At 49.4% G+C, this 13,106-nt stretch overlaps 1 protein-coding gene across 1 annotated transcript in view, besides 8 other annotated features; it reads left to right on the top strand.

The window, feature by feature from the left end:
• Window positions 354–423: an enhancer, noted in NCBI's record as "active region_17721". NCBI's record gives its function as "activates an Ori minimal core promoter by ATAC-STARR-seq in GM12878 lymphoblastoid cells {active_cell/tissue: GM12878}" and the evidence as "EXISTENCE:reporter gene assay evidence [ECO:0000049][PMID:35858748]".
• The window catches only part of C20orf203 (chromosome 20 open reading frame 203), a 42,317-nt gene continuing 30,331 nt past the window's right edge, over window positions 1,121–13,106 (top strand). Inside the window, exon 1 of the mRNA NM_182584.4 lies at window positions 1,121–1,430. The gene's annotated coding sequence lies outside the window, so the exon portion shown is untranslated. The remainder of the gene's footprint in view (window positions 1,431–13,106) is intronic.
• Window positions 2,374–2,873: an enhancer, noted in NCBI's record as "H3K27ac hESC enhancer chr20:31259991-31260490 (GRCh37/hg19 assembly coordinates)". NCBI's record gives its function as "activates a minimal SCP1, AML or CMV promoter by ChIP-STARR-seq in primed H9 embryonic stem cells {active_cell/tissue: H9 hESC(primed)}" and the evidence as "EXISTENCE:reporter gene assay evidence [ECO:0000049][PMID:30033119]".
• Window positions 7,742–8,242: an enhancer, noted in NCBI's record as "H3K4me1 hESC enhancer chr20:31254622-31255122 (GRCh37/hg19 assembly coordinates)". NCBI's record gives its function as "activates a minimal SCP1, AML or CMV promoter by ChIP-STARR-seq in primed H9 embryonic stem cells {active_cell/tissue: H9 hESC(primed)}" and the evidence as "EXISTENCE:reporter gene assay evidence [ECO:0000049][PMID:30033119]".
• Window positions 9,337–9,807: a silencer, noted in NCBI's record as "fragment chr20:31253057-31253527 (GRCh37/hg19 assembly coordinates)". NCBI's record gives its function as "represses an EF-1alpha promoter that drives an FKBP-Casp9 reporter gene in an ReSE screen in phorbol 12-myristate 13-acetate-treated (for megakaryocytic differentiation) K562 erythroleukemia cells {active_cell/tissue: K562(+PMA)}" and the evidence as "EXISTENCE:reporter gene assay evidence [ECO:0000049][PMID:32094911]".
• Window positions 9,337–10,031: a biological region, named in NCBI's record as "H3K27ac-H3K4me1 hESC enhancer GRCh37_chr20:31252833-31253400".
• Window positions 9,464–10,031: an enhancer, noted in NCBI's record as "H3K27ac-H3K4me1 hESC enhancer chr20:31252833-31253400 (GRCh37/hg19 assembly coordinates)". NCBI's record gives its function as "activates a minimal SCP1, AML or CMV promoter by ChIP-STARR-seq in primed H9 embryonic stem cells {active_cell/tissue: H9 hESC(primed)}" and the evidence as "EXISTENCE:reporter gene assay evidence [ECO:0000049][PMID:30033119]".
• Window positions 10,032–10,600: an enhancer, noted in NCBI's record as "H3K27ac-H3K4me1 hESC enhancer chr20:31252264-31252832 (GRCh37/hg19 assembly coordinates)". NCBI's record gives its function as "activates a minimal SCP1, AML or CMV promoter by ChIP-STARR-seq in primed H9 embryonic stem cells {active_cell/tissue: H9 hESC(primed)}" and the evidence as "EXISTENCE:reporter gene assay evidence [ECO:0000049][PMID:30033119]".
• Window positions 10,042–10,231: an enhancer, noted in NCBI's record as "active region_17720". NCBI's record gives its function as "activates an Ori minimal core promoter by ATAC-STARR-seq in GM12878 lymphoblastoid cells {active_cell/tissue: GM12878}" and the evidence as "EXISTENCE:reporter gene assay evidence [ECO:0000049][PMID:35858748]".

Raw genomic sequence — 13,106 nt, 5'->3', positions numbered from 1 at the left:
GTCTCTCTCAAATTTGAATGGCCTTTTTTTCCTTTTGAAGGGGGATTCTTTAGGAGGAAGGGCAGAGAGGGCACCAAGCAAGTAGATACTGTCTCTAATAAAAGTTTTGGTCATGGCCAGGCGCAGTGGCTCACTCCTGTAATCCCAGAACTGGGAGGCCCGAGGCAGGAGGATTGCTTGAGCCCAGGAGTTCAAGACCAGCCTAGGCAAAATGGCAAGATCCCTATCTCTACAAAAAAAAAAATAATAATACAAAAATTAGCTAGGCATGGTGATGTGCACCTAGTCCCAGCTACCTAGGAAGCTGAGGTGGGAGGATTGCTTGAGTCTGGGAGGTCGACGCTGCAGTGAGCTGTGATTGCACCACTGCACTCCAGCCGTGGTGACAGAGTGAGACTCTGTCTAAAAAAAAAAAAAGGAAGTTTCGAGGGTGAGATGAAGTAAAAGACTGGAATGTTCTTGAGACATTGGGCTAGAGATTGTCATTTGTTTTTGCTACTTAAATCCAGGTGCTCTGGGCTAACCTGATTGGGCCCCTGATGCAAAAGCGCCTCCTGGTGGGTGGTTCTGAAAACACTGAATACTTTCCTCCCCCTGCCACCCAGTAACAATATTAATAATACAAATACAGCATTTTTTTTTCCCTGCAGAACAAAATTCCTAGAAGCTGAAGGGCTGAGTTGCTGAACATGAGCATTTTACTTTTAGGCAGATTACATCAAAGTCTCTTTCCAAAAAGTTGGCACCAATTGGCACCCCATTTTTGGTGCATTTAAATATTAAACACCAAGATGAGACTGGATGGATCCCTCTCCTGAAATGTCCTGTCCATAAATGAAAGAGCTGGGGCCAAGCTCACGGTGGCTCACGCCTGTAATCCCAGCACTTTGGGAGGCCAGGGTGGGAGGATTGCTTGAGCTCAGGAGTTCAAGACTAGCCTGGGAAATATAGGGAGACCCCTGTCTCTTAAACAAACTTAAAAAAAATGGCTGGATTAAACGACAACAACAGTTTCAGGGACCCAGTCTTTTCTGAACAGTGTCTCCCCCGCTCAGCTCTCACAGATCATTGAGGTGGGCGGGGTTAGACCCATTGACAGTTGGACCTGCAGGGCCAGGTCACATAGCCAGTGGGTCTGAGCTGACTTTTCTTCCCAAGCCTGTGTGATCCCCAAAACCCTTGGCTGCCCCCACTCTGCCCCCCGCCTCCCAGCCCTTCCAGCTGCAGCCTTTTCACTCATTCCACCACCACTCAGCTCTGAGTGGCTACGCTGGCGGGCTCTCTGCTTTGCGTCGGAGACATCACAGTGAGCAAAGGCAGATATGTTTTATGTGCCCTTGAAGAATCTCCCAGACAAACGTGTCATTGCAGTCGGAGCCAAATGGCCGGGGCAGGTGGCACAGATGAATGCCGGGCAGAGGAGCCTGCAGGTGGGTGGAATGCAGCCTGTCTGTGCTGAAAGTGTGGGGTGACCCTGGGGTTTTAAGCAGGGGATGGTGACCAAAAAAGCCAGCAGAAAGACCAGTGTGTGGTTTTGAAGCTGCTGCCCTAGACTCCCTGTGCCTCATGTGTCCCTTGGAGCTCCACCTGGGTCTCTGTGCCCACGGGGCTGCGGTGAGGCTCCCCGAATGTGGGGACCGTGTGGCCGTTGAGCCCATCTCCGGCAGCTATGGCTGAGGCGCCAGCCACTTCCGCCCTGTGCTCTCTCTGTGGTTGGCTACGGGGGCTGAGACACCTCCGGCCAGTCTTGAGGGGAGCAGGAGGAGGCTGCTGGACTGTCCCCCATGGCAGCCACAGGGCCTCTTCACTCCCTCCTGCCTCTGTGGCTCCAGGGGCCCAGCTCAGCCTCTTCCTGCCGTTTGTACCAGCCCTGGGGCTCCTCAGGAGGGCGGGCTTGTCGCTTGTTCCCCCAACCCTGCAACCCCTCCACTTCCTCTCCTCACCCGCCCCAGGGTGTGAGGTGGGACACAGAGAGATGCCCAGCCCTTACTACCAAGGAGTCTTGGGTCTTGAGGGGGCTTCTTTTATGGCCACTCATTTCAGCCCCTAGATCCTGCCAGTCCCATATTCTTCACTCCCTGAGGCCTTCTGGCTCTCAAAGCCCGAGTCTAGTGCCTTCCTACCAGCCATCTTCACCAGGCCCCTCTCCTATGCTGGGTCTGTTTAGATGCAGGGGCACAGGGAGTAGGAAAAGGTCTCTGCTGCCGGAGCCCACAGCCCTGTGGGAAGACAGCAGGGCCAGGTGGCAGTCAGGGAGAGAAGCACTTTTCTGGAACTGTGTGAAATGCTGTGAGCTTGGGGGAGGCAGGGGAGGGAGTGGGGAGGGTAGAGGAGGAAGAGTCCCAGAACAAAAAGGCCTGGTGTGGTGAGAAATTCAGGAGGGAATAAAAGGGAACAAGAGCAAGAAATAGAGACAGGCACACTGTGGTTCTTGGTTTTTCCCACAAAACTAAAGCTATTTAAATTGAAGAAGTATTTTTTTTTTTTTGGAGATATTGTCTTGCTCTGTCACCCAGACTGAAGTGTAATGATGCAATCATAGCTCATTGTAACCTTGACCTTCTAGGCTCAAGCAGTCCTCCTGCCTCAGCCTCTTGAGTAGCTAGGACTACAGGCATGCGCCACCACACCCAGCTAATACATATGTATGTATGTATGTATGTATAATATATATGTAATATATTTTATGTGTGTGTATTTATTTTATTTTATTTTATTTTTTTGAGACAGAGTCTTGCATTGTCACCTGGGCTGGTGTGCAGTGGTGGGATCTCGGCTCACTGCAACCTCCATCTCCTGGGTTCAAGCGATTCTCCTGCCTCAGCCTCCCAAGTAGCTAGGATTACAGCTAGCTACTGTAATAGCTACTGGGCGCCCACCACCATGCCCAGCTAATTTTTTGTATTATTAGTAGAGATGGGGTTTCACTGTGTTGGTCAGGCTGGTCTCGAACTCCTGACCTTGTGATCCGCCTGCCTTGGCCTCCCGGAGTGCTGGGATTACAGGCGTGAGCCACTGCCCCGGCTCCTCTTAAATTTTTAAGTGCACGCTACAGTATTGTTAACTATAACCACAATGTTGTGCAGAAGACCTCCGGACATTTTTATCTGTGTGACTGAAACTCTATACCCATTGAACAGCAACTCTCTGTTCCCCACTCCCCCTCAGCCCCTGGCAACCCAACCCCCATTCTACTATTTTTTTTTTTTTTTTTTTTTTTTGGAGACAGAGTTTCACTCTTGTTGCCCAGGCTGGAGTGCAATGGCACGATCTCGGCTCACCTTAACCTCCAACTCCTGGGTTCAAGCAATTCTCCTGCCTCAGCCTCCCGAGTAGCTGGGATTATAGGTGTGCGCCACCACGCCCGGCTAATTTTGTATTTTTAGTAGAGACAGGGTTTCTCCATGTTGGTCGGGCTGGTCTCAAACTGACCTGAGGTGATTTGCCCACCTCGGCCTCCCAAAGTGCTGGGATTATAGGCGTGAGCCACTGTGCCTGGCCCATTCTACTATTTTTTCCCTTTCTTTTTTCTACTTAAAATTTTTTTGTCTTTATTTTTTTTCTTTCTTCTACTTTCTGTTTCTTCTTTGGATTCCTCATATAAATGGAATCATGCATTATTTGTCCTTCTGTGACTGGTTTGTTTCATTTAGCATAAAGTCATCAAAGTTCATCCATATGGCAGCACATGACAGGCTTTCTTTATTTTGATGGCTAAATAATATTCCAATGTGTGTACACACCATATGTTGTTTATCCATTCATCTGTGGATGGACATTTAGGTTGTTTCTACCTCTTGGCTATTGTGAATAATGATGCAATCAATATGGGAGTTCACATATCTCTTGGAGATCCTGATTTCAATTCTTTTGGAAAAATACCTGCAAGTGGGATTCCTGGATCATATGGTAGTTCTATTTTTAATTTTTTGAGAAACCTCCATACTGTTTTCTGTAGCAGCTGCACCATTTAACATTCCCACTAACCATGCACAAGGGTTCAACTTCTCCACATCCTTGCCAACACTGTTGTTTTTTTTTTTTTTTTAAATAATGGCAGTTCTAACAGGTGTAAGTTGATGGCTCATTGTGGTTTTGATTTGCATTTCTCTGGTGATCAGTGAGGTTGAGCACTTTTTCATGTTCTTGTTGACCACTTGCATGTCATCTTTGGAGGGATGCCTATTCAAGTCCTTTGCCTATTTTTTATTTTTATTTTTATTTTATTTTTATTTTTTGAGACGGAGTCTCGCCCAGGCTGGAATGCAATGGTGAGATCTTGGCTCACTGCAACCTCTGCCTCCTGGGTTCAAATGATTCTCCTGCCTCAGCCTCCTGAGTAGCTGGGATTACAGGTGCCCACCACTACACTCAGCTAATTTTCATATTTTTAGTAGAGAGAGGGTTTCACTATGTTGACCAGGCTGGTCTTAAACTCCTGACCTCGTGATCCGCCCACCTCGGCTTCCCAAAGTGCTGGGATTACAGGTGTGAACCACTGTGCGTGGCCTATTTTTATTTATTTGTTTATTTTTTATTTATTTTTATTTTTTTTGAGACGGAGTCTTTCTCTGTCACCCAGGCTGGAGTGCAGTGGCGTGATCTCGGCTCACTGCAACCTCCACCTCCCAGGTTCAAGCAATTCTCCCTGCCTCAGCCTCCCAGGTAGCTGAGATTACAGGTGCCTGCCACCACACCTGGCTAATTTTTGTATTATTTAGTAGAGACAAGGTTTCACCATGTTGGCCAAGCTGGTCTTGAACTCCCAACCTCAGGTGATCCGCCCGCCTCAGGCTCCCAAAGTGCTGGGATTACAGGCGTGAGCCACCGAGCCCGGCCTATTTATTTTTTGAAACGCAGTTTCACTGTTGTTACCCAGGCTGGAGTGCAGTGGCTCAATCTCGGCTCATTGCAACCTCCGACTCCCGGGTTCAAGCGATTCTCCTGCCTCAGCCTCCTGAGTAGCTGGGATTATGGGATTACAGGCACACGCCACCATGCCCAGCTAAGTTTTGTATTTTTTAGTAGAGACGAGGTTTCAGCACATTGGCCAGGCTGGTCTCGATCTCCTGACCTCGTGAATCCACCCTCCTCAGCCTCCCAAAATGCTGGGATTACAGGCGTAAGCAACTGTGCCCGGCCGGATATTAACTTCTTATTACATATATGGTTTGCAAATATTTTCTCCCATTCAGTAGATTGCCTTTCACTCTTGTTTCCTTTGCTGGGCAGAAGCTTTTTAGGTTGATGTAGTCCCTCTTGTCTATTTTTGCTTTTCTTGCCTGTGCTTTTGGTGCCATATTCAAGAAATTATTACTAAGGCCAGTGCTATGAAACTTTTCCCCTATATTTTCTTCTGTAAGTTTTATAGTTTCAGGTCTTAAGTCTTCGATCCATTTTGAGTTGATTTTTGTGTTGTGTAAGGAAAGGGTCCAGTTTCATTCTTTCGCATGTGGATATCCAGTTTTTCCAGCACCATTTGTCGTTTGGTTCTAAGGGCCTTCCTTGGCAGAATAACAACTTTCAGTCCTTTGCAGGTTCCCCAGAGTTTCTTTGGAAATGTTACTGGTCTGTGAAATGGATGAACTAGACTCTCATGACTTTATTATAGTGACAAATTATATTTTAAAACCCAGGATGTGTGATCAAGTACACACATGGCTCTTACGAAGGGAGCAGGTCAGCCAGAAGTGTTCCAGGAAAATTCGGGCCATAGGATCTGTGTCCTCGGAGGCATATGCCTATAGTTCTAGCTACACCTCCCAGCCTGCCTGGGAATCGGCTGTGCATACTTTGGAGTCAGGGTCTGGGCCTAGAGTCCGCCCCCAGTTAACACAAGTTCAGCACACACAAGGGCACTGAGTCCCAGAGAGGCCAAGCCCCTTGCCTGCATCACAGAGCAAGTTGGGCAGAGGCTGGGGCACCCCAGGATCTCCTGGTTCTTCAACCAGTACTGTTTTAATTGCCCCGTTACCAGCACACGACTCTCTGCATGCACTAAGGCTTCCTCCCGCTGTGGCCAAGAGTGTTTGAGAAAGAGCTTTTCCTTCTGAACTGGAAAACTTCGATTTTGTAGAGATGAGTCTTGTACCATCTTAGTGTCTCCCCCAAGCTGTGGACGTGGCACCAGCACATGGCAAGAACATGGTCAATGTCTGGATGAAGGGACAACCAGCAAATTCAGTTGAGAGGCAGCTCTGAGTAAGAGCCAGAATTAAACATTTATTCATTTATTTATTTATTTAGAGACGGAGCCTTACTCTGTCACCCAGGCTGGACTACAGTGGGGCGATCTTGGCTCACTGCAACCTCCCGAGTTCAAGCAATTCTCCTACCTCAGCCTCCCTAGTAGCTGGGATTACAGGCATTACAGGCATGCACCACCACACCCAGCTATTTTTTTAATTTATTTTTATTTTTTTATTTATTTTTTTTTGAGACAGAGTCTCACTCTGTCACCTAGGCTGGAGTGCAGTGGCTCAATCTCGGCTCACTGCAACCTCCACCTCCCGGGTTCAAGCGATTCTCCTGCCTCACCCTCCCGAGTAGCTGGGACTGCAGGCACCCGCCACCACGCCCAGCTAATTTTTGTATTTTTAGTAGAGATGGGGTTTCACCATGTTGGCCAGGCAGGTCTCAAACTCCTGACCTCAAATGATCCACCCGCCTCGGCCTCCCAAAATGCTGAGATTACAGATGTGAGCCACCGTGCCCCACCTCAGAAGTTAAAAATTTAGATTCTGCTTCCTGCTGTGCTTCAGGTTTGCTGTGTAACATTGGATAGGTCCCTTCCTATCCCTGGGGCTCAATGTTCTTGTAGGTTAATAACAGTGGCAACATCAACAATAATAGATAACAGGAGTGCCCTTGGTGTAACCACTCTTACAGACCCATTTACCCCTCCCAGTCATCCCAAGAGATACAGATGATTAATGCTCTGGTGTCCGGATGAAGACATGGAAGTCCAGAAGAATTAAGTATTTTGTGCAAGGTCACACAGCTAGTTAGAGGGGCAGCAGGGATTCACTCCAGGCGGGCTAGCCCCAGAGACCACCTAATCACTGTATGATACTGAGTGGCTAGAAGATTTCTAGGCCTGGCGCCGTGGCTCATGCCTATAATCCCAGCACTTTTGGAGGCCAAGGCAGGCAGATCACGAGGTCAGGAGATCGAGACCATCCTGGCTAACATGGTGAAACCTGTCTCTACTAAAAATAGAAAAAATTAGCTGGGTGTGGTGGCACGCGCCTGTAGTCCCGGCTACTCAAGAGCCTGAGGCAAGAGAATTGCTTGAACCTGGGAGGTGGAGGTTGCAGTGAGCCGAGATTGCCCCACTGCACTCCAGCCTGGGTGATAGAGCAAGACTCTGTCTAAAAAAATAAAAGATTTCTTGCTCAGAAATACAGTGATTCTATGAGCTACAGAAGGTGGCAGATATTTCAATTCTAGCCCTTGGCAAAATTATTCTGGTTGGGTTCTTCTAGGCTTTGTTAAGTAGCAACTGCGCAGATCTCTTCCTGGAAGGAAGGCAGCTATAGGAACAGGGTTACATGGATGGAATTTTGGTCAAAGAGAGGGAGAGGAAAAGCAGACGGCCAGGCCTGCCTCCCTGTCTCACTGCCTGCCCACAGCCTTGTCAGTATTCCCTGAAGCTCTTCTGTGGCTGTCATCAACGCAGCTCTAGGCCACCTTCAGCCCACCTGGGCATCTCACTGGGCAGCCAATCTCACCTGCTCCGAAGCCCTCCAGGCAGCAGCCAGAGTCAGCTTCAAAGACAGTAAGTAGTCAGATCACATGATGCCCCTGCTTAAAGCCCTCCCACGACCTCGAAGCTCTTGGAATAAAATCCCAGGTGACCCTTTCCCACTGCTTCGACCTTACCTCATATCTCCTCCCCTTTACTCACTGTGCTCTGCCCCAGTGCAGCCCCAGCCAGTGGCCACTGACCATCTGTGGCTGCTGAGCACTTGAAATGTGGCCAGTCTATAAAATACACACCAGATCTCAAAGCCAGAGTGTCAAAAAAAAGGATGTAAATCATCTCATTAATTTTTGTATTGATTATATTAAAATGATAATATTTTAGTTACATTGGATTATATAAAATATATCAAATTGTACGTGGTGGCTCATGCCTGTAATCCCAGCACTTTGAGAGGCCGAGGTGGGAGGATTGCTTGAGGCCAGGAGTTCGGGCAACAAAGGAAGACCCCATCTCTAAAAAACAAAACAAAACTATATATATATATATATATATATATATAAATTAAAATTAATTTCATCTTTTTTTTTTTTTTTTGAGATGGAGTCTTGCTCTGTCACCCAGGCTGGAGTGCAGTGGTACAGTCTTGGCTCACTGCAACCTCCGCCTCCTGGGTTCAAGCAATTCTCCTGCCTCAGCCTCCTGAGTAGCTGGGACTACAGGCACATGCCACCACACCTGGCTAATTTTTTGTATTTTTAGTAGAGATGGGATTTCACTATGTTAGCCAGGATGGTCTCGATCTCCTGACCTAGTGATCTGCCCGCCTCAGCCTCCCAAAGTGCTGGGATTACAGGTATGAGCCACTGCGCCTGGACTTTTTTTTTTTTTTTGAGACAGAGTCTCACTTTGTTGCCCAAGCCGGAGTGCAGTGGCACGATCTTGGCTCACTGCAGCCTCAACCTCCTGAGCTCAAGTGATCCTCCCACCTCAGCCTCCTGAGTAGATGAGACTATAGGCATGTGGCACTATGCCTGGTTAATTTTTGTATTTTTTGTAGAGATGGGGTTTTGCCACATTGCCCAGGGTGGTCTTGAACTCCTGAGCTCAAGAGATCCTCCTGCCTCGGCCTCCCAAAATGCTGAGATTACACATGAGCCACCACACTCAACCAACTTTATCTTTTTTTTTTTTTTTTTTTTTTACTTTATTTATTTATTTTTTATTGAGACAGGGTCTCACCCTGTTATTCAGGCTGGAGTGCAGTGGTATGATCTCAGCTCACTACAACCTCTGCCTCCTGGGCTTAAGTGATCCTCCTGCCTCAGCCTCCTGAGTAGCTGGGACTACAGGCATGCGCCAGCACACCCGGCTAATTTCACTTCATCTTTTAAAAAAAGTGGTTTTGTTTGTTTGTTTGTTTTGAGAAGGAGTCTCACTCTGTCACCCAGGCTGGAGTGCAGTGGCATGATCTGGGCTCACTGCAAGCTCTGCCTCTCGGGTTCAAGCGATTTTCCTGCCTCAGCCTCTGGCTAATTAAAAAAAAAATTTTTTTTTAAGTAGAGACTGGATTTCACCATCTTGGCCAGGCTGGTCTCAAACTCCTGACCTCGTGATCCACCCTCCTTGGCCTCCCAAAGTGCTGGGATTACAGGCATGAGCCACCGCACCTGGCCTTAAAAAACCTTTTTGTCGTGGCTCCTGGAAAAATTCAAATTCCCTGTGTGGCTCACACTTGTGGTTTGCGTTGTTTTCCACTGGGCAGCGCTGTTCTAGCCACACCAGCTTCTGTCTGGTTCCTGGACCGCGCCTTGCTCTTCCCAGTCTTGGGCAGGGCCTTATCTCCCTCCCACCTCCTACAGTGTTTCCGGCCTGGTCACTGGGGCTCCCCAGCACTGTCTCCAAAAGCCCTTTCCTGTGCGTGTTTATGTCTTTCTTCCCTGGGTGGAGTGGAGGCTCCTGAGCACAGGCTCTCTGCTCTTGGTCTGGCACCTGGTTGGGGCTGGCCAAAAAGGCCACCTGCTCCCTGTCAGGTGTCTGGAGGAGGGTGGATGGGAACTGTCCCGCATTCTGCAGCTGGAGACTGGGGCAGCCTTCAGCCAGAGGGCCCCATCTGCTGCTACTTAGGATTTAGCCCAAACAGGAGTAGGTGATCAGAATCCTCTGAGCAGAACCCACGGGCCATCAGAGAGGGGCTTTGGGCCTTGCGTGGTCCTAGGAACCTGGGACCCTGCTGTGTGGGTAGAACCAGGGCACAAAGTCTCCCCCAAGCTCCATCAGGGGAACTTACTTGGCAGCTTGGATCAGGGACCAGACACCCAGTGGCCACCAAGGGCGGGGTCCTGGGTAAACACTAGTGCAGCCAGAATGGATTTGGGCTTTGCTGGGGCAGCTCCGGAGTCTGTCTCAGCCCTGCTGCACACTAGCACGGTGACCTTGGCCGATCACTCAGCTCTGCTCTAAATGAGGATCGACTCACTGCCTGGGGCTCGTGGAGACTGGATTGAGGGCCTTGTGTGCAGCACCCATGGGGCACAGTGTGGGGATGTGTGGGTGCTCAGGCACCCAACGCCCTGTGACTGGCTCTCCTCCCTGCTGTCAGCCACATCTGCAGGACCACTGGCTGGGATGGTGTGGGTGGCAGCGTGTGGCCTCAGTTCCTGAGAGAGGAGGGGCCCCACACTGTGGGGGACTGCCAAGCCACTGCCTGGTCCTCTCTTCTCACGCTGAGGAGCCTGCCTGTGGCTGCATCTAGAGGAGGGGGAGATACCACCAGCTCTGTAGAAAAGGCCTGTGGGTTTCCATCGACCTCAAGCTCACAGCAAGCCAACGGGTGACCTGATTGCTAAAATAGCCCAGGAGGAGGGCAGGAGCTTCCAGGACCCCAAGGTGGGGTGGCAGGGCTGGGGCTGGAAGGACGTGAGGGCAGTGTTCTTAAACTTGCCCAACTCTACGGCTGGCTCTGGCAAGCGGGGAGCCCCTTCTCTGGAAACCTGTGTGGGGATCCAGGCTGGAGACCACTGGCTTCTCACCCTGTGCTGAGAAAGAGGTGGGGGTATGAGGAGACCCCGGCAGGAGGCCGGCCTGGATCTCACTGTCAGTGCCTTTCCAACACTGCTTTTAAGTGAACTTGGTTGGCTTCCCTAAGGCGCAGATCAGCACCCAGGGCCCTCACCTCCCAGGTTAGAAGAAACCCAGAGCGCTGGGATCAGAAAGTCCAGGGAGACCAGAGCAGCTGGGTGCTCCACTCCCACATGGGGAGGCTGAGAGCCTGCGGGGCCACAGTGGGAGGGTGACAAAGGCCAGCTCTCCCTAGCCCACTTGCTGCACTCAGCCATCCCAAACAAAAACAAGGAACAAAGAAAATGGCTTCTCTCGTACAGCAGATAATGAATGTTCTGATTCTCAGCCCTGAGTGGTTCATTTCCCAGTGTCCCCAGCCAGGACATTTATGGCCTACAAGTGACCCTCCAGAGGGCCCCGGGCAGGGGTTGGATTCCTTGAGGGCAGTGTCCCATGGCTGGTCCCTCCGGGGACAGTGTGGTGCAGGCCGTCCTAGGCCTCCTGTGGCCTGGCTGGGCCAGCTGGTGAGGACAGAGCCCAGCGCCCAAGCAGCTCCATCCTGGCTGTGGAGGGGATGAACCTGGGCTGGTGAAGCCTCTACCCTGCCATCCAGCCCCAGCCCAACTCATGCTTTTTTGGTTTATGTCTAATTATAAATGCAATTTGTACTCATTGTAAAATTTGGAAACTACAAGAAGGTAGAAAGGAGAAAATGAAAATCATCTGTCATCCCACTCCCCGGAGGTAACTATGGTGCTATTTTGTTACATTTCTCTCCAGGCTTGTTTTTCCATATAGATCATATATATATGTATATATGTGTGCATTTTAATTGTAATCATACTCTGTAGCTGGCTTTCCCCCAACATTACATGGTGAATATTTTCTCAGCATTAACATTTTCTTTAAAGTTATTTAATGACTGTAAAATATTCTATTAATAATTTATTTAGCCATTCTTTTTTTTTTTTCTCATTCTCTTATTTTGACTCTCATTTCCACCAAGGGAATTCAGTAGTTTTTAAAATTCCACGTAAAAATATAAATCTAGCTGGGTGCGGGGGCTCGCACCTATAATCCCAGCACTTCGGGAGGCCGAGGTGGGTGGATCACAAGGTCAGGAGTTTAAGACCACCCTGGCCAACATGGTGAAACCCCGTCTCTACTACAAATACAAAAAATTAGCCGGGCATGGTGGTGGGCGCCTATAATCCCATCTACTCAGGAGGCTGAGGCACGAGAATCACTTGAACCTGGGAGGCAGAGGTTGCAGTGAGCCGAGATTGAGCCGCTGTACTCCAGCCTGAGTGACAGAGTGAGACTCTGTCTCAAAAAAAAAAAAAACTATATTTATATCTATCTATCTATATATATATATCTAGCTGTTCCTTTCTTGTTTTTTTTTTTTTTTTATAGAGACAGAGTCTCGCCTGTCACCCAAGCTAAAGTGCAGTGGCGCGATCATAGCTCAGTGCGGCCTTGAACTCCTGGGCTCAAGTGATTCTCCTGCCTCCTCTTCCCAAAGTGTTAGGGTTACAGGCATGAGCCACCATGCTTGGCAGAGCTGTTCCTTCCTGACTGCTGAGATGGGGGCAATTCTGGGATTTCCTGTCAGCCATTCACACTGAGAAGGACCCCTCAGTTGAACATCTCAGGGTGATTGCAAAGGTTTAACAGAGATTTGTTTGTTAATTTTTTTGAGACAGAGTCTCACTTTGTTGCTCAGGCTGGAGTGCAGTGGCGTGATCTTGGCTCACCGCAACTCCGTCTCGGGTTCAATCGATTCTCCTGCCTCAGCCTCCAGAGTAGCTGAGATTACAGGTGCCTGCCACCATGTCCAGCTAATTTTGTATTTTTAATAGAGACAGGATTTCACCATGTTGGCCAAGCTGGTCTTGAACTCTGGACCTCAGGTGATCTGCCTGCCCCCTTGACCTCCCAAAGTGCTGGGATTACAGGTGTGAGCCACTGTGCCCAGCCCGTTTATTTATTTTTAACTCTATAGCTCCTTGCAGAGCAGGGCTAACCTATAGGCAGTGTGCCCAGAGTCAGCCAGGTTTAGCATTTAGAACAAGCCCCCAAAACAAAGACTAAACCCCCATACCACCAGGGGAAGCTTAGGAAAAGAGTTTCCCTTTGTGCCCCTGGCTCGTGCTGCTCCCCAAGATTGGGTGCCATCATCCTGCGTCGCCTGTACCAGGCTGGATCTGCCATCCTGGGGCGTGAGCGGGTGGTGGAAAGTGCTGGGCAACTCCCAGTTCTGATTCTGCCTGTGTCTCCAGTGGGTGGTGCTCTTGGGCAAGTCCTTTTGTGGCTCTGTTTCTCCATTTCCTGGGGCTGG

This window comes from Homo sapiens, chromosome 20 (genome assembly GCF_000001405.40).
Source record: "Homo sapiens chromosome 20, GRCh38.p14 Primary Assembly".
NCBI lineage: Eukaryota > Metazoa > Chordata > Mammalia > Primates > Hominidae > Homo > Homo sapiens.
This window is presented reverse-complemented; position numbering and strand designations above follow the sequence as displayed.